The sequence below is a fragment of the Homo sapiens genome, chromosome 8, assembly GCF_000001405.40.
Source record: "Homo sapiens chromosome 8, GRCh38.p14 Primary Assembly".
NCBI classification, from domain to species: Eukaryota; Metazoa; Chordata; class Mammalia; order Primates; family Hominidae; genus Homo; species Homo sapiens.
The window spans coordinates 126,985,167-127,005,565 of record NC_000008.11 but is presented as its reverse complement, the minus strand read 5'-3'; the positions used below and the strand labels follow the sequence as shown (position 1 = coordinate 127,005,565).

Here is a 20,399-nt window from a genome sequence, read left to right as displayed (position 1 = left end):
TCCTTTCAGAAAAAGAACTAAAAATTACAGATAAGTGTATTACTGTATTATGGGTGTGGCTTATAAAAGAAAGATGACACATAACTCTATTTTATGGGCTCATTATCAAAGGCAAGGACTCTGCTCTTTATTCAAAGATTGGTGAAAGAAATGTCAATCTTACGTTTCAAGTTAATTATTAAGATACATTTTCACTTTTATGAGTTAAAACTTCTACTGAATGATAAAAAATCAGCTGTAAGGTAAAATTATAAATATTACAAAAGATGCAGGAAAGCGACTTCCTTGAATACTATCCAAAGGCATTTACAAATGAAGATCTGGCTTAGATATGTTAACAACTGAATAAAATACATTAATCAAGATCATGACACCATAGACAGTTTAAAAGTGACTCATTTGACTCTCAAGAAATTTAGAGAAATCCCTGGAAAATTTGTGACTCCTGGTATGTTTTTGAAACATATGATTTTTTGATTAAGCTAGAAATTCTTCATTGTTCCACATATAATGGCCTATACTTTGTATGTAGCACAGGGCTTGATGTATATCAAGACTTTAACAATGATATGTATTCATATATGAACATATTACTATTAGTAGTAGTACTTGTTGCATTTAACTTTGCCCTCTATCCTAACGTAGATATTAAGGAGCCAGTTGGCAGTCATGACTTCTGTCTTCACATGTGTTGCTCCTATAAAACCACTTCTGGTTATGACTACCTGCCCAGAAAAAAAAAAAGTTTTCTTGTGACTCTATTTCTGCCCAACTATTTACCTAATTCTTCCCTGAATGCCCATGTAGGAGAATAAATGATATTAGGAGCTGATCTGATAGCTCATCCCTAAACTAAAGTGTTTCTTAAATTCGACTAAATTCCATAAATATTTTATTAGGATCATTCATTCTGTGACTTGGTTAGCTTATATAATTCATAAGGAAAAAGAAAGAAAGAGAGAGAAGAGGAAAAAAAGGAAGGAAGAAATCCTGCCTTCAAGGACTTTATAACTGAGCTAAGTACATTGGCATAGAAATGAACATCTCTAATTTAGGACTTTATGGAGGAGGAAGAATGAAGAATAGACAGAGAATGTTGTCAGTTATTCTATCTTGGTGTGTGGAGCTAGAGGTAGCTCATAGAGGGCTCAAGATTATTTCAAAACTAATTTTGGTTATTTGCGTTGGGTCGTGAAGTATAAGCAAAACTTTACAGATTAACGTCGATGAGGAAGAACATTACATATCAAGCAGAACCGATAAAGAATAAGGAATATATAGAGAATAGCTGTTGGTTTGGTGTGTCTAGAAGGAAAACCATGCTTGCCTCAGTGAGAGAAGAAATAGTAGAAGTACTAGAAGATTAATCTAGAAAGGTAAATTGATTTAGTATAAATACAAGAATATCCTAAACAGCTCAATAAATTTCTCACTGAAGAATTTGATTTATTATCATAAAATAGTGGTTCTCAAAAGATCCACAGGACCTAGGAACTTGTCAGAAATGAAATTATCAGGCCTGACCCCAGACCTACTGAGTCAGAAACTATGAGAGCTCGTTCTAGGAATCGATGTTTTAATTCCATATCCAGGTGATTCTGATACAAGTTTGAGAACTATAGCCATACGCAAAAGAGATTATTCATAAAATGTTAATCAGGAAACAGCATAGTCACATCTGAGCTTTTCAGTAATTGCCCTTGCCCCTTGTAGAGAATAGATTGCAAGCAGGGGCACTGGAGGTTCCCTAGGAGGATCTTGGGTAGTCAAAGGGAGAAGCAAGAAGAGTATGAACATCAGGAGTGGAGGAAAGAGGAAGAAGGAAAGAAAGAGCCAACAGAAAAGTCTGTGGTAATCAAATTCATTTTCAATCTTCAATCACTGAATGGAAGTAGATAATTGAGGTGGCAGAAAGTGGAAGAGTTCAGGTCACATTTTTTTCTTCCTAGTCAGAGAGGTTCAGTTGATGGTGGTATATGTTTGGGGACCGCAGGTGGAGGAGGGAAGCTCCTCCAATTAGGAAATTATGGAACTTTTAGTCAGGTTCTTTTTTTTTTTTTTTTTTTTTTTGAGATGGAGTCTCGCTCTGTCACCCAGGCTGGAGTGCAGTGGCGTGATCTCGGCTCACTGCAAGCTCTGCCTCCCAGGTTCATACCATTCTCCTGCCTCAGCCTCCCGAGTAGCTGGGACTACAGGTGCCCGCCACCACGCCCAGCTAGTTTTTTGTATTTTCAGTAGAGACCGGGTTTCACTGTGTTAGCCAGGATGGTCTCGATCTCCTGACCTCGTGATCTGCCCATCTCAGCCTCCCAAAGTGCTGGAATTACAGGTGTGAGCCACCGCGCCTGACCGTCAGGTTCTTTGAGAGCTGTATCATGAGTGAAAACTGACCTCACTATAGTCATTTGTTCATTCACTCATTATACAATAACATTAGTTATTATGCATCAGACACTTTGATGGTTACAAGAGATAGGTGAATCAGATGTTTCTGCTTTAGGACCTCTTGAGCTAGCTGACATGTAAGAAAGAGGCAGACACATCATGTGGAGGAGACAAATCAACTTGGGAACAACTCCCATTGTGATGGGATGTGATCACATTTTGTCCCTTGCTATTTATCCTATTGTTCCTCTCAGGTTCTTAGAGGAGAGGTCATATCTGTTGATGGCTGAAGGAGCATCAGGTACCCAGAGATTTTCAGCTTTCATAAGGCCAATAGTGGGATCTTTGATCTGTAAGCTGCTCGAGTCCAATCTCAGAAACTTGCTTTGTACTTTCACCACAATAAGTTCTACTTTACCCCTAAGGAAATGAAGAGATAGAAAAGAGAGATTAAACTTGCCTAGGCACATAGATCAAGTCTCTGGCAAAATGCAAATTCTTGTTTGCATGTCCGGTGTTTCTTTTTGAGCGAACAAATGGAAAGAGCCAGTACAGGACAAAGAAATCAGCTTGTGCTACTACTGATTGACAAATGTTGTTGAGTGGCTTAATAAAATATTCTAAACACATGAAAATATTATTTATTTATTTATTTTAAAAATACGTTGACATTTCACTAATGTAAAAATATGGCCAGGTGCAGTGGCTCATGCCTGTAATCCCAGCACTTTAGGTGGCCGAGGCGGGCAGATCACAAGGTCAGGAGTTCGAGACCAGCCTGGCCAATATGGTGAAACCTTGTCTCTACTAAAAATACAAAACTTAGCCAGGTGTGGTGGCGGGTGCCTGTAGTCCCAGCTACTCGGGAGGCTGAGGCAGAAGACTTGCTTGAACCCTGGAGGCGGAGGTTGCAGTGAGCTGAGATCACACCACTGCACTCCAGCCTGGGTGACAGAGAGACTCCATCTCAAAAAATAAAAATAAAAATAAAATAACATGATAAATTGTATCATGACACATGATACATAATACAATGTACATGATGAATTATCAAATGTGAAAAAATCAAATTACAAAGCAGAACGTGTAGTCTGCTCCCAAATATATATATATATGAGAGTATTAACAATGGTTACCTTTTGATGGTGGATTACTGATTTTACCTTTTCCTTTGTACCTTTTTATATTGACTGATTTTTTTGCCCTGAACATATAATATTCTTATAATCAAAGAAGCAAAAAAACTATTATTTTTAAAATGAAATATATTAATAATTCCCAAACATATGCTAAAAAAGAATAATGATATTAAAATACTAAAAGGGACCAGTATCAAAAGTAGAAAAAAAATGAGAATCATTTCTGCTTACATAGCATCTTTACATTATAATCTCATGTAACTCCTACATTAATGGTGTTAGGTATGTAATAATAATAACAACATAGAGAAATGTTCTATCTCAATGGAAAACAATGTAATATCTATATCACACTCTTCCCAGTTATCTAATTTTGTTTCTATGGGAGCTGTTTTACAACTGTGTACATTATAGACAACTGATGGCAATGCAAAATGATTCTTGTCCATAGACAGTTAAATTTTATCAATTTTATCCAGTGAAGATTCAAATGATTTCCCTCCCCAATGTGCAAGAGGTTAGTCTTTCCTCCCTTTGCTCATTAATTTCAACATTCCTGATTATAAATGTGTCTGTACTTTGGAATCTCCTTTGAACTGATTGTAACACCTCATTAGTCTCAACATTAATGAGTTAAATAAAATCTTTCACATGTATTCACTTTTATGTTTGTATGAGATTTATAATTTTACCATTTTTTGGAAAATAATCTTTTAAGAATTATTATAACATTAGCTAATATTTACTAAGAACTTTATATGCACCCAGCCCTGTTCTAAGTCATTTATATAAAACTATATTTTATCTTCACTATCTCTGAGGAGCTAATGTCAACTCTATTTTACAGATGAGGGTCTAGAAGTTACCTAAAAGTTAATTTACTCAAAGGGAAATGAGTGGTAAGGAGCAGTATTCAAATTCAGGCTGAGTCCAGATACTATGTGGTTCAGCAGACAATATCATCTAATTTTTCCAGATGAGAAAACTGGACCTCTACAAGGTTAAAATTTACTCTTACTTTTTCCTTTATTCAATTAATATTTTGAACATGTACTAGGAGCCAGACACTAAGCTAGGTGTGGGGAACCTAGAAGTGAAAAAGGTAAGTAGATAGAACTCTTGATTTTTATAGAGCCTAGAATTTTGTGATAATTGACTCCAAGTCCAACGCTGGTGGAGTCAGAGGGCCTATTTCCTTTAAAAGTTTGTTTTCTTCAAGATTCTTTTTTTACTCACTTCCAGTCAAATGGGAACATTCAAAGGACTAGAATTATAACTTCTAATAAGAACACACTGATGTCATCTTGTATCCTCTTTGCTGCCTGGTGAAGAATGTATTCAAATAAATACACCAAAGGAGATGACTAATGATTTAATTGCAAACCTCTAAGAAAAGCATCCTACATGGACTCCCTTTGAAAATGCCATGTCTTTCTGGAATATACTTTCCTGGCTTCCCTCCTTGGTGGGTCCCTCTTCAACCCTTCAAATTCTGTTCAGTCTTCAGAAGTCTTCAGAGTCTCTCTGAAGCTTTTTTGATTCTGTATCCCTTCCCTGACATGTATAAATTCGTTTCTCTTCTCACTCTAGTATTCCCTATCTCTGGGATAGTTGTTTTTTGTTGTTGATGTTGTTGTTGTTGTTTTTGAGACGGAGTCTCGCTCTATCTCCCAGGTTGGATGGAGTGCAGTGGCATGATCTCGGCTCACTGCAACCTCCGCCTCCCAGGTTCATGCCATTCTCCTGCTTCAGCCTCCCAAGTAGCTGGGACTACAGGTGCCTGCCACCACGCCCGGCTAATTTTTTGTACTTTTGGTAGAGACGGGGTTTCACCATGTTAGCCAGGATGGTCTCGATCTCCTGACCTCGTGATCCGCCCGCCTCGGCCTCCCAAAGTGCTGGGATTACAGGCATGAGCCACCGCGCCTGGCCTCTCTGGGATAGTTTTAACTGTGGCATGTTAGCATGTGCTGGGACAGTCATTTTTTCTGCATGTCTGTTTCTCCCAAAAAAGCATAAACTGCCAAAGGAGAGGCACTGTGGCTTACTCATTTCTGCAGAACCTGGTATCTAGTTGTGGACTGGTGCACTAATGTGCTGGTAAACAATTCTTCCCATACAATGTATATAGAGCAACTTTCACTTCCCCCAGTATACACAGTTCTCTACTATCTCCAGGTATTTGTATTTACTGATCCCTTTATTGAAACCTCATCTTCATTTCATCTTCTGGGTAATGCCTATGCTTCCTAAGGACCTCTGTTCATATATCTGTTCTTCCTGAAATATTTCCTGATCCTGAGTTAGATGCCCCTTCTGTGTGTTCTTCTATCACCTCAAACTTCCCCTATCACACCACTGGTTTCATTTCATCATGAAGTGTAATTTCCTATTTATATGTCTGAATATATGTATATGTATTTTTAAAATTCTTAAGGAGAGAAACTTTATTATTTCATCACTATGTTTTCAGATCCTATACATATAAATCCTATACGTATACATATAAATATGTGCTCATTTGTATATTGAAATATATGTCAAATGAGAAAAAAAGACCTATTTGTTCACGCTTGTTGCTACCTAGAAGGAATTTCTCTCTTAGGATACAGCATGATAGAACAGAAAGACCAACTTTAGAGTTAGAAACATGAATTTTGTTCCTGGTTCAGTCATTTATTAGCTATGTCACCTTGGGAAAATAAAATCAATGTATAAGACCTTAATTCCCGTATAAGTAAAATGAGAATAAAAATCTCCACATTGTGCTATTGTCATGAAGACTAAATGAGATAATGTGTGTTGAGGGTCTGTGCTAAGTAAGCTCTAAATGAATATCCATTTCCTTCCTTTTCTATTTGTGGCCAGTGGTAAATTATAAAGACAGAATCTGGGCACATAACAGGATATCCTACATAAGTAGGAATGGCTTCCCAGGGTAATAGATAGTGTTGCCAACAATAGTGGAGAGAATGAGAGGAAGCAGCCACATAAACCAACCTTCTCAAGGTTTCACCCTTCAGAGTTCAATGTAAGGTTCAAAGGATGACTTTGAACATTAAACAGCATCGTGAACTACCCAACAATGTTCCCAGCTGTGGCTCTCAATCAACACACATTTCTAAAGGCAAGGTGGCTCAGTGAGAGGCAGGAGACCTGGAATGTGCGAGGAATGAAAGGTCATCAGGGGTTCCTGGTATGCAAGGCATGTGCCAATGACATCGAGTCCACCTTCTTCCTACTCTACCCCTCCCCTGCCCCAAAACAAGAACTGCAAAGAGGTGGCATAAGCTTCCTGCATGGTATGGTGAGCAGTGTATTCCCTTCCTCAGGGATATTTTAAGGCCTTCAGACTTTTATCAAGTTATTTCTGTTATAGCACCTATGGACAACGTCTACATATTGTACTACAAGTGGCAAACAAAACTTCTCCTGGCAGGACCAAATGAAGGATGAAGCTAATGCAATGCTTTCTGGGCTGCTGAAAGCCCACCTTATATTTCTAGATGGTAGTTTGATCTTTCAGTTACCTTGTTTTAAGAAAAGACACACTTTTACACCCAATAAATGATTTGACCTATTGGTAGCAGATCAACCAGGTGAAACACTGAATTCATGCTAGACAAGCCCTACCTTCATTTTCTAGTGACAAGAGGCTAGAAACTGAAACATCTTTCTTGCAGGAAATAAGTTAGTTCTTACAGGTGTGTGTCCCCGTGTCCCCAAATTCCTACCCTGCTCTGGCTATTCCTGCACATCAGACTGTGCTGCTACCATCCTGCAATAAACATGACGAAGCGGGAAATTCAGCCAACAGGGAAGGGGTAAAAGAGAAGTCGCATGCTACTGCAGAAAGGCCAGATTGGGAATGTGGAGACATGGATGCTTTTTGTGCCTGACTTCTGCTAACCCCGTGGATGAGCTTGTTAAACAGGATAGTGCTTATTCAGGGTCAGCTTCACTCTGGGTCATGTCCTTAAATAATACTATTTTTAAAAACTTCTTTGCCAACGCTAATTATAATACCTATTCCAGACATGAGAAAACTGGATTAGATTGGTTGGTTAATGTGTCCAAGGTCAAAACATGGTGGATCATAATGTGAACCAAATTCCCTGTTCTTCCTTTTGATCCTGCAATCCCACTACTGTGTATCTACCTGGAGGAAAAGAAGTCATTACACAAAAAGCATACTTGCACATGCCTGTTTATAGCAGCACAACTTGCAATTGCAAAAATGTGGAACCAGCTTAAATGTCCATCAATCAACAAGCGACTGTGTGTGTGTGTGTGTGTATATATATATATACATACCACAGTGTGTGTGTATATATATATATATATATATATATACCGCAGTGTGTGTGTATATATATATAGCACAGTCTGTATATATATATATATTCTACTGTGTGTGTAGAATATATATATTCTACACACACACACATATACCATGAAATACTACTCAGCCATAAAAAGGAGTGAATTAATAGCATTCACAGAAGCCTCAAAGGAACTGGAGATTATTATTCTAAGTGAAGTAACTCAGGAATGAAAAACCAAACATCATATGTTCTCACTCATAACTGGAAGCTAAGCTATGAGGATGCAAAGCCATAAGAATGATACAATGGATTTTGGAAACTCGGGGGGAAACGGTGGGAAGTAGGTGAGGGATAAAAGACTACATGCTGGGTTCGGTGTATATACTGTTAGAGTGATGGGTGCACCAAAATCTCACAAATCACTAGTAAAGAACTTGCTCATGTAACCAAATACCACCTGTTCCCTAAAAATCTATGCAAATAAAAGAAAAAAATCCATGTTCTAATATATCATGCTGCCTCTCCAATAGCCTGCAAAATTTATCATTTTTATATCATCCTTTAAACATGAATAACTACCTATGACCAACTTCAGATAACACTGCTCCAGTCCAGTGGGCATGGACTAGATAATGATAAGGCAGACACAGCATACTCTCTGCCTGCTGGATGTCTTCACGTGCAATTTCTCGCTGGACTTTCGGCAAATCAACACACTGGGCTGGGCTTTGTTTTTCACTTATGTAAAGCATGAAATTTAAACTAGATGATTTCTTAGATTCCTTTTAACTCTCATATTCTAAAATGAAAAGTAGACATTCTAGTGATATATTTCATACATATGTAGATACATACATTTAGTGTCTACATGATTATGTTTTTAAGGGGTACTGGAACCCTTGTCCTGACTTATGCCTCTGGTGAAATCCATCCCATTTTCATTGCCCTGTCTTCATTCTTCCTCTCCTAACTAAAAGTAGGAGCTCTCATACCTGGCCTTTTGTATAAGTATGGGCATACTTATGTCTATACTTCACTTTTAGCACCCTCGGCTTCCTATGATGATTGATGGTGGGCATATCATATTTACCCTATAACCCTGTAGAATTTCCTCAACTTTCTTACCATGGTTGGTAGTCCCAAAGATACTCAGCCAAATATCAGCACCAGGGAGTAGAATATTGATATGCTCTACCTATTTTTATTAAAATTAAAATCTGAAGTATCACAAGATTTTATTTAATTGAGTGATCGACTGAGACAGTGTCTCACTCTGTCACCCAGGCTAGAGTGCGATGGCATAATCATGGCTTACTGTAGCCTTAAACTCGTGGGTTCAAGTGATCCTCCCACCTCAGCCTCACAAGTAGTTAGGACTATAGGCATACATCACCAGGCCTGGTTAATTTTTTTTTTCTTTTTTCTCTCTTTCCCTTTTAATTTTTATTTTTTTTTTTATTATTTTTGTTTGTTTGTTTGTGGAGACAGGGTCTTGTTATGTTGTCCAGGCTAATCTTGAACTCTTGGCTTGAAGCAATCCTCCTGCCTCAGGCTCCCAAAGTGCTGGGATTACAGCCACCGTGGGATATAAGCCACCATGCCTAGTTGATTTTATCTAATTTAAACTTGAATTCCACACAACATATTTTGAACAGAAAAAAAATGATCTGAGAAATTATATAGCAAAAAGTTTTAATAATAAATGACATGTCTATGTTGTTTTACAGCAGGGCTTTTCTTGTTATCTGAGTTAAATAATCAGGTTTTTTAAAATTAAATTCCAGCTGATTGTGGTTTAATGCTTTTATAAAGTATAATGAAATGCATTTTTAGAAAAATTAAATTTAAAGGTATTAAAATGCAAACTCAAAATTTGTGTCACTAGATTCAATAGAAACAAAAGCATTCTGTTATTACATTGCTATAAAGTTTCTAAATATAATTTCTGGGCTTATCTCATGGACTGACAACAAATGGCAGCTCACTATTCACAATAGAAAAGACATGGAATCAACCCAGGTCCTCATCAATGCTGGATTGGATAAAGAAAATGTGGTACATACACACCACGGAATACTATGCAGCCATAAGAAAGAATGCAATCATGTCTTTTGCAGCAACTTGTATGTAGCTGGAGGGCATTATCCTAAGTGCATTAACACAGAAATGGAAAACCAAATAAAGTATGTGTTCACTTACAAGTAGGAGCCGAACATTGGATACATAAAGACACAAAGATAGGAACAACAGACAGTGGGGATTTTGAAAAGGGGCAGAGAGGGAAGGAGGCACCGGTTGAAAAACTACCTATTAGATATCACGTTCACTACTTCGGCAACAGGATCATTAGAAGTGTGAAACTTAGCATCACACAATATATCCGTATAACAAACCTATGCGTGTACCACCTGAATGTAAAATAAAACAACAACAACAACAACCAAATGGCTGCTCACTACCACCATTCCTGGACCACATTGGGAGCAGCACTAATTTACCTCTTACACAGAACTTTTAGAATTCGAATAGGAGCTGGGTTGCACCAACTGAGTGAAAATATAAGGGATCATGCCGGGAAAAGACCAGATGTTTATCTTCAGCCTTTCTCTGTGGTCTTTGAAAAGAAAGACCACGGTACACAGCAGAAGGTCAAAGGATTCTGTCTTTAGTCTAGTCTTTGCTCTCCAGATGAAGAAAACAGGATTGGAAATCACTGCCAATAAAACCAAACCCGGGCAAGGAAAGTTTAACAGTTAATGACTGCAACGGGTCCATACTCTTAACAAAGAAAATAATATGGATTATTTATTTTTGAACTTATAAATTGATCTTGTATTGTCAGCTCATGTGTAAGCTTTTTGTCTGTTGATAATTCATTGGTATTTTTTTTTTAACTCTCCAGAAACATTTTATTTAACTTTCCCCAAATCCCATCGAACTAGGTACTAGTGTTGTCCTTACCATACAGGTGAGAAAACTGATTCAGAGATGTTAAATGACTTACCATAGCCATTCAGTTACTAGGAGGTTCAAGTGACTTTCATACCCAAGCCTGTCTGACTCTTAGTTCATGCCCCAGCCAATTATCCATTCACCAAATCTATTGTTTCTCTGGCTAATCTCACTTTACAATACTTGAAGAATCTAAGTGTACAGGAAGCTGTAGAAAATATATGATTTTCTTTAAGTCAGTGGGAAAAATATCTCCTCACAAAACCCTGGGATGAGACTCATGAGCATGCTTTTGTGAATGTTAGTCGTACAACCACTGTGTTTATCTTATAATTTTAACCTCCACAGAATGGAATCAGATATATAACTATTATACATAGGTTCTTAAGATTGCTGCACTTGAAATCTCTTATCTACAGAATCTTCAATGAATAGTTAGGAGTACTCAATGTGATTATTTAAAACTCTTGAAAATTGGACCCATTGATTATAAGGATTCACTTGGTGCATGATAAGGAAAAATCTAGCATTTTAACTTTTCTAAAATAGACCACATTGGTCCTAAGGCACTAGGGGAAAACACCCATGAAGAGATGAGGGATGGTTTCTTGAGCTACTTATGAGTTACAATTGATTTGTTTTCCTCCCCGCTGAATTCGTTTTCAAAGAATAGGGTAAAGGTCTTTGACATAAGCCTGGTGGTAAGAATCTCTGTGGAGCCCCTCATGAAATGGTGACAACATAAAGGGTGCTGCTTCCCATGATATTCCAAGAAATGGCCTCCAATATATGTGCTACTTCAAGCGTGTGGATTCACTGCTATGTCTTCAGACTCTTTCAACTAAAACTTCAGGTCTCAGTTTCACCCTTAGCAGATACTTTTCCAACAGAATAAATTCCAAATTCTAAGATACCCAAAGATTGACAGAAATATGAAATATTTGTGCTCAAATGTGCTATGCTTAGGAATGAGGAAAGTAAAACCTAGAGGGGAGAACAGGCTTGCCCAAAGTCACACAAATAGTACTAAATGTGAACTGAAATGCCATCTGAATCCCTCTTCTAGGAAAAGTCCATATTTAGCCTAAAACATATAAATCCACTGCACACAACTCTACTTCTTATTTTTACTGGCAAAGTCCACATCTGTGTATTCATTTCTCTATCCCTAGCACTAGGCCTAATGCCTGACACTTATTAGATGCTCACTAAGTGTCTGTTACATTGAATTAAATTAACAGAAGTACCAAGGTGGAACCTTTGGAAGTCATTGTGATTATACATATTAGTAAACCTTGCCTGAGTGCTGATAAGATGCGGTAGAAGCACATGTAATTCCTCTTGCTTTTTATAATCTTTGCTGTGAAGGAAATATAATAGCACTCAGGATTCCTATTACCACTGTCAGAGGGATGGATGATCCAAAAACCTATAAAGCTTAATGTACAATTAATATCATGCCTCACTTCTGTCATAGGCTCATTGTTCTACACTTTGACTGTCTTGACAAGTATCTCAACTTTGACCTTCTGAGCTGATGAGACTACAAAAGAAAGTAGTCAGAGAAGAAAAAAAATCAAAATTATGGCAAATATAAAATTCAAAATGCAACAGTCTATTACTGTTCTGTCACTCAGAGAACCCAGAAGCATCATTTCTTTCTTGCTTCAGAATTGAAAGGTAGGCAGGGCTGAGCTGCTGCACACATCACATGGAATTCCTGATACCAGTGATTTTAAATTATAGTAGTATTTGACCAAAACAGACATTAGAGCTTGCCAGACCTCATTGGCTCCCCATAAAATAGGATATATTCATGCGAAGGCACTAAACTTTTGACTGTCCAAGGGGCCATTTGTTAATCCTATACAGTTCTCCTGCTATCTTTTTATCTCCTGCTGGTCTAAGGAGATAAATCAGTAAGTGTACAGGCACACACATATACCCATGGGCTGTAAAGGTGTTGAGAAGAAATATTTATAGTGAGTTAAAACTTTCAACCAAAGCACACAGTGAGGGGGCATTTAATTTCCACCTGCTACTAGAGCAGATTACACATTTCTTCCTGCTTTTAGAAACATCAGGGGATCATAAGCTAGGCAAATCACATAGAAAATAATATTATAAAAAGTGTTGCAGGAATCATGAAAGAATTCATGTTATCTGAGACTTGTAATGTTTTGGGTAATTTCCTACACATTCAAAGGAAAATTTACATGTCCATTCATGTATACATACATGTATCCATTCATCCATTCACCACCCATTCAACCACTCACCCACCCACCCACCCATTCACTCACCCACCCACCCATCCATCCACCCACCCATTTGGTAACCCACCCATTCATCCACCTACCCATTCATCTATTTATCCACTCACTCACCTATTTATCTACCCAACCACCCAAGCATCCATCCATCCATCCATCCACCCACCCATCCATTCATCCATCCAATATTTTTGACATCGTACTAATATGCCAATGATGATGCCAAGAGACAAAGAATAGAACGACGAACAAAATAGATGTGTTCTTTTTCCTCCAGGAAAGGCAGACATACACAAAGACATAAAAACATCAGATTGTGGGGTTGATAAACAGGGGCTATTGTGAGAGCAAATAAGAGATGAGTTTCCCTGGAAATGATGTTTGATATGAGTACTATGGATGAGGTGTTAGGCAAAGCAAAACCAAAACATGAAAAGTGGGAATATATTTGGGATTTAAGGATGAGTATATATTATGTGTCAAAGCTAAGATTTTTTGAGAAGCTACAATATATTTGGGGAACTGCCAAGAGTTCAGTCTGATGAAAGGGAAGGAAGTGGTGAATGATAGTGAGAACACTAGTCTTGAGCTCTGCTGTTGAAGGAACTGTGAAAGCTGTTAAGAAATTTCCTTCCTTTCCTGGGCCTCAGCTTTTTCATCTGTCAACTATGGAAGCTTGTTTAGATGATGCCTCACATCCTTTCTAACTTTTGTGGTCTTAGGAATTCTCTTACAAATGCAGACTTCTTGAAATATAGCTAGAAACAAACGAGAAAGCCTGCAAGCTAGAAATTCAAGTGACCCTCTTATGACGATTGTTCACTAACCAGCCTCATTCCCATTTGACTCATTTACAGAGAGAGCTTTCCCGAGGGAAGAAGGAGCTCTCTTACAATTTTTCTTGTTTTTCCAGAATCGTCCTGAGCCACTGTTGTGATAGAGGGATGCCAGAGGGTGGGGGAGGGGTGGGGAGTAGAAATCCACTGGGAAGAAACTCCTAAATTTCTTCAGAGAAAGGAAAACTCGGAGTCAGTGGCTCAGTAGGGGTTGGTTTTGGGGAAACGAATCTGTTTTAAGTGTTTCTTTTTCCCTTGTAAGACTCCTCATCTCCACTCTGTGCTAGAGCTGCCTCTCAGTCTATAATATTCTCCTGAGGCCTTAGACAACACATCACGTTAGTCATTGATTTGGGAGCCTTAACTGTCTTATCCATGGAATGGGGAGAGTGAAGCCTGCCTCAGAACTGTGAGGATTGAAGTAGGTGGTTTAGGCAAGAAACTTTGCATAGTGACTTGGTGTTTTAAGTGCTTTCAATGATTAATTAACCATCTTCACAATAGCTCTGTGAGGTACTGCAATAATTATGCTCATTTTTTAGATGGAAACACTGATGCTCATAATTTAAAATATGTGCAAAAGTAATTGTGGTTTTTGCCATTAGCGGCTAATTATTTTGCACCAACCTAATAACTTGGTCAAGATCACATGGCTCTTATATAGTGGCACCAGGATTCGCTTCAGACAAACCACCTCCAGACCCATGCCCATAACCATTATGCTAAACGCCTCTTAATAAACGTTGGTCTTTTTTTTTCTTCGTATTACCTGAGGTCAACTCACCTTTTGTACTAAGGGTAGGGATGTTACCGTTACGTAACTGTTACCAGTTAATGCCCTAACTGTCATTTCTAGGATTCTGTATCCATCATTGCACAATGTAACTTCAACCATTATCTCCAAAAAGAAAGATTTGGGCCAGGACTGGAGACAAGGACCCCTCTTTGGAATCTGGTCATGACTCCTGGCTGCTACGGCACAACTACTCCTGATGCCTAAATATGGAATCAATGAAGCACCCACTGAACTCATTTCAGCACTTCATCTTTTTCCCTCCAGAATGGCTCCTGTGCTAATTGCATCTGCTTCCCTCTTTGCATCACAATGGTAGTTTCTATTTTGGATTTTTATCGTCTGTTGCAGCTTTGAGAAATTCTTATTCTGGTTCTGATCCAGCCTTGGCTATGTTTCAAAGACGCTAAAACCGCTAGTGAAGCTGGCCTCATTTACCTTCTGGCACAAGTATGCATCTTTCCCAGAGTGAAAAACAGACTCCGTACCCACCCCTTAAAAACAAGTAGACAAGAAGGAAAGAGAAGTCTTGCTAGACTATACCAGGGGTAAAGTTGGCGAGGAATAAAACAAATTTTAAATCAAATTCCTGTCGGGTGAAATTAGCTCAAATGATGACCTTCAGATTTTTTTCTATTTCCAAAATTAGAAATTTTGGAATCTGCTAATCACTGTTGTTGTTCTGTAGGAACATTTTAGAGTTTACAATTAAAACATGAATAATTTTTCTTCCATAGCACATGTCATCAGAGATTCTCAGTGGCCTCTCCACACTGTGTAAAGAAAAGCACAGCAGACGTACTCAGCCAGCTGCCTCTGAGGTATCCAGAGAAAGGCCTTCTACTTAAGTACCTGTCCTAATAAGGGTATTTTGTAGGACATAACAATTTTTTAGATATCTCATTTAATCTCTATTATAACTTTGTAGCACGATAGTCTCATTATTCCCGTTATGCTGATATGTCAAATCAAGTGTCAAAAAATCAAATAAGCAATGTAGAATACTTAGAATATGGTTATCATAAGGACCACAGAGAAAACCAAAGGAGGGAAAAGGGATCAGATTTCAGGTGAGCTACATGTGAACACTCCAACAGCTGTGTAAGACACTTCCTCATTTCTGAAAGGTCCAGGCCCTAAGGAGATGCTGAGAATTGTATCCCTCTAATAGAAAGTAAAATCACCATGTTCAAGGTAGAATAAATGGCATAGTAGTAAACATTGCTTAGGTGAAGTCCAAATCTCTAGACTAGAGTGAAATAGTAGATCACACTAGAAAGAATAGTTTGGTCCAGATCACATATGACCCAAAAAATTAGGTAGAAGATTTTAGATGTGATTTAATAAGTAGAAGAGTGTTTTAAAAATTGAAATCATTTTAGGATAACTCCTTTGGAATTATTTTTCAGAATGACAAGAAGGGGACAAAGACTTCAAGTGGGAAATTTAGAAGTTTGCAATGGTTCACCTCTAAGATAATAAAGTTTTAAAAAGGGTAGCATAATGGAGACAGAGATCCACCATGAAGAACATGTTAAAAGTCCTTTGGCAATTGGTTATTTGTGGGTAAACAGCATGAGGGTGAACACAGATAAACAAGGGTTTACCTCAAATAGCTAGATTTAAGATGAAACTAATGATGTCTAAGCTTCAGGGCTTCTCATTTGCATAAAACCCTTCTAAGCCCCTGGCAGGGCTCCTACTGGTATGAACAAGTGTTTCAATTCAAACTATGCATCCAACAAAGGACTAATATCTACAAGGAACTTAAATCAGCAAGAAAAAAAATAATAATCCCATTAAAAAGTGGGCTGAGGACATGAATGGACATTTCTCAAAAGAAAATATACAAATGGCCAACAAACATTTGAAAAAATGCTCTACGTCACTAATCATCAGGGAAAATGCAAATGAAAACCACAATGAAATACCACCTTACTCCTACAAAAATGGCCATAATTAAAAAGGCAAAAACCAATAGATTTTGGTGTGCATGTGGTGAAAAGGGAACACTTCTACACTGCTGGTGGGAATGTAAATTAGTGGAACCGCTATGGAAAACAGTATGGAGATTCCTTAAGGAGCTAAAGTAGAACTACCATTTGATCCAGAAATTTCACTACTGGGTATCTACCCAAAGGAAAATAGGTAATTACATGAAAAAAAACACATGCACACACATGCACAATTCAAAATTGCAAAGATACGGCACCATCCTAAGTGCCCATCAACCAACAAAGGGATAAAAAAAACCAATGTACACATATACATATATACACACCATGGAATACTACTCAGCCATGAAAATGAATGAAATGATGTCTTTTGAGGCAACTTGGATGGAACTGGAGGCCGTTAGTCTAAGAGAAGTAACTCAGTAATAGATAAATAAATAAATATAGTATATTCTAACTTCTAAGTGAGAACTAAGCTATGAGGATGCAAAGGCATAAGATGATATGATGGACTTTGGGTACTTGGGGCAGAGGAAGGTTGGGAGAGAGGTAGGGGATAAAATACTACATATTGGGTACAGTATATACTGCTTGGTTGATGGGTGCACTAAAATCTCAGACATCACCACTAAAGAACTTATCCATGTAACCAAAAACTATCCCTACCCCCAAAAACTATTGAAATAAAAATTAAAAAAAGATTTAACCCCATCTCCCCAAAAGAACACGTGTTGCAATTGAAAGGGCATTTAATATTAGTCACTTCGAAAGAAAATATGAAATTCAGTGAAAGAACTTTGACAGAAGTTTTTCAGGTTTGACAAAAATTTATAAAACTTTTATAACATATCCATGAATTAAGAAGCTGAAAAGACTCTAATAAGCTATTAATATCAACAACAAACTGCTATTAATAATGCTAGAAATAAGACTAGGAAAGATAGATAGATAGACAGACAGATAGATAGATAGATATTTTATACAGAGAACACAATGTAAGAAAAAATACTATAGAGCTGAGTTGTGTCAGACAGTTAACAAACATGTGATGTTTGTCAAGTTTTTTCATTTGTAATTTGTTTTAATTGCTTTCCTTATTCTAAATATTTACTTTTGAATTGAATTAGTATTCAAATGCCATATTATTATGTTTTTAATTGTTGAAGCCTTAGGACCCACAAAACCTGGATTTTAATTGTTGAAGCCTTAGGACCCAAGAAACCTGAATCGTAAGTTGATAACCCAAATGATACAAAAAAAATATGAAAATAACGTCATGTTTTGCCGGGCATAAATATCCCTTTATCATGGTGAATAATCCTTCTAATGTGCTCTTGAATTGGATTTGTTAGTGTTTGGTTGAGGATTTTGGCATTTATGTTCATCAGGAATATAATCTATAATTTTATTTTATTTCTTAGCATCCTTGATTGGCTTTGATATCAGGGTAAGGTGAGGCTTGCAAAATGTGTTTGGAAGTATTCCTTTCTCTTCCATTTTTTGGGAAAGTTTGACAAAAGCTGGCATTACTTCTATCTAGTTTGCTAGAATTCAGTCATGAAGTCATCAGGTCCTGGGTTTTGGATGGTTCAATGTATGCAAATCAATAAATGTGATACACCACATTAACAGAATGAAGGACAAAACTGCATGATCATCTCAATAGATGCAGAAGAGGCATTTGACAAAATTCAACATCTTTTCATAATCAGAGCTCTCAACAAATTAACTATAGAAGGAATGTTCTCTAACATCAAAGGCCATATATGATACACCCACAGCTAATATCACACTCAATGGCGAAAAGTAGAACACTTTTTCTCTAAGTTCAGGAATAAGACTAGGATGCCCACTCTTACCACTTCAAATCAACATAGCACTGGAAGTCTTAGAGCAATTAGGCAAAAACAAGAAATAAAAACAAATCCAGTTTGGAAAAAAAGAAGTAGAATTGTAGTTGTTTAAAGATGATGTTATATTTTGAAAACCCTAAAGATTCCATCAAAAAAGAGAACTACTAAACAAAGTCAGTAAAGCTGCAGGATACAAAATCACCAGACAAAAATTTGTACCATTTTTATGCACTTATAACTATCCGTAAAACAAATCAAGAAAACAAGCCCATTAACAATAACATTAAAAAATCCAAGGAATAAGTTTAACCAAGGAGGTGAAAGATCTCTATAAGGAACACCATAAAAAGTTTATGAAAAATACACAAATGAAAAAAAATTCTATGTTCATGAATTGAAATAATTAGTATTTTTAAAATGCCCATACTGCCAATAGCAATCTACAGATTCAATGCATTTCCTATAAAAATTTCCATGATATTTTTCACAGAAATAAAAATAATAATTCTAGAATCTGTATGAAACCACACAAAACCTTGAATAGCCAAAGCAATCCTGAGCAAAAAGAACAGAACTGGAGGTATTAAACTACCTGACCTCAAAATCTACTACAATGATATTGTAACTGCAACAGCATGGTACTGGCACCAAAGCAGACATATAGGTCAATGTAACCAAATAGCCCAGAAATAAATACACACATTTACGGACAACTGATTTTTGGCAAAGGTACCAAAACATACATATACAATCAGGACAGGACAGTCTCTTCAATAAATGGTGTTGGGAAAATGAAATATCCACATGCAGAAGCATGAAACCAGACCCTTCTCTCACCCCTTATATAAAAATCATCCCTAAATGGGTTAAAAATTGCAATGTAAGTCCTGAAACTAAAAAACATACATTTATAACTATCCAAAACTATGTTTTACAGCAATGTTCTACTAGCAAAAACATTAGGGAAAACCTTCCTGATGTTGACCTAGCGAATGGAATACTTACTATTCAGCCTTAAAAAATCTGGGGGAGGGGCGCCCGCCATTGCCCAGGCTTGCTTAGGTAAACAAAGCAGCCGGGAAGCTCGAACTGGGTGGAGCCCACCACAGCTCAAGGAGGCCTGCCTGCCTCTGTAGGCTCCACCTCTGGGGGCAGGGCACAGACAAACAAAAAGACAGCAGTAACCTCTGCAGACTTAAATGTCCCTGTCTGACAGCTTTGAAGAGAGCAGTGGTTCTCCCAGCACGCAGCTGGAGATCTGAGAACGGGCAGGCTGCCTCCTCAAGTGGGTCCCTGACCCCTGACCCCCAAGCAGCCTAACTGGGAGGTACCCCCCAGCAGAGGCACACTGACACCTCACACGGCAGGGTATTCCAACAGACCTGCAGCTGAGGGTCTTGTCTGTTAGAAGGAAAACTAACAAACAGAAAGGACATCCACACCAAAAACCCATCTGTACATCACCATCATCAAAGACCAAAAGTAGATAAAACCACAAAGATGGGGAAAAAACAGAGCAGAAAAACTGGAAACTCTAAAACGCAGAGCGCCTCTCCTCCTCCAAAGGAACGCAGTTCCTCACCAGCAATGGAACAAAGCTGGATGGAGAATGACTTTGACGAGCTGAGAGAAGAAGGCTTCAGACGATCAAATTACTCTGAGATACGGGAGGACATTCAAACCAAAGGCAAAGAAGTTGAAAACTTTGAAAAAAATTTAGAAGAATGTATAACTAGAATAACCAATACAGAGAAGTGCTTAAAGGAGCTGATGGAGCTGAAAACCAAGGCTTGAGAACTACGTGAAGAATGCAGAAGCCTCAGGAGCCGATGCGATCAACTGGAAGAAAGGGTATCAGCAATGGAAGATGAAATGAATGAAATGAAGC

General features: G+C 37.7%; 1 long non-coding RNA gene across 1 annotated transcript in view; it reads right to left on the bottom strand.

Moving 5' to 3' along the window:
- Positions 1-20,399, bottom strand: part of LOC105375751 (uncharacterized) — a 463,156-nt gene that overhangs the window by 15,466 nt on the left and 427,291 nt on the right. The window lies entirely within an intron of this gene.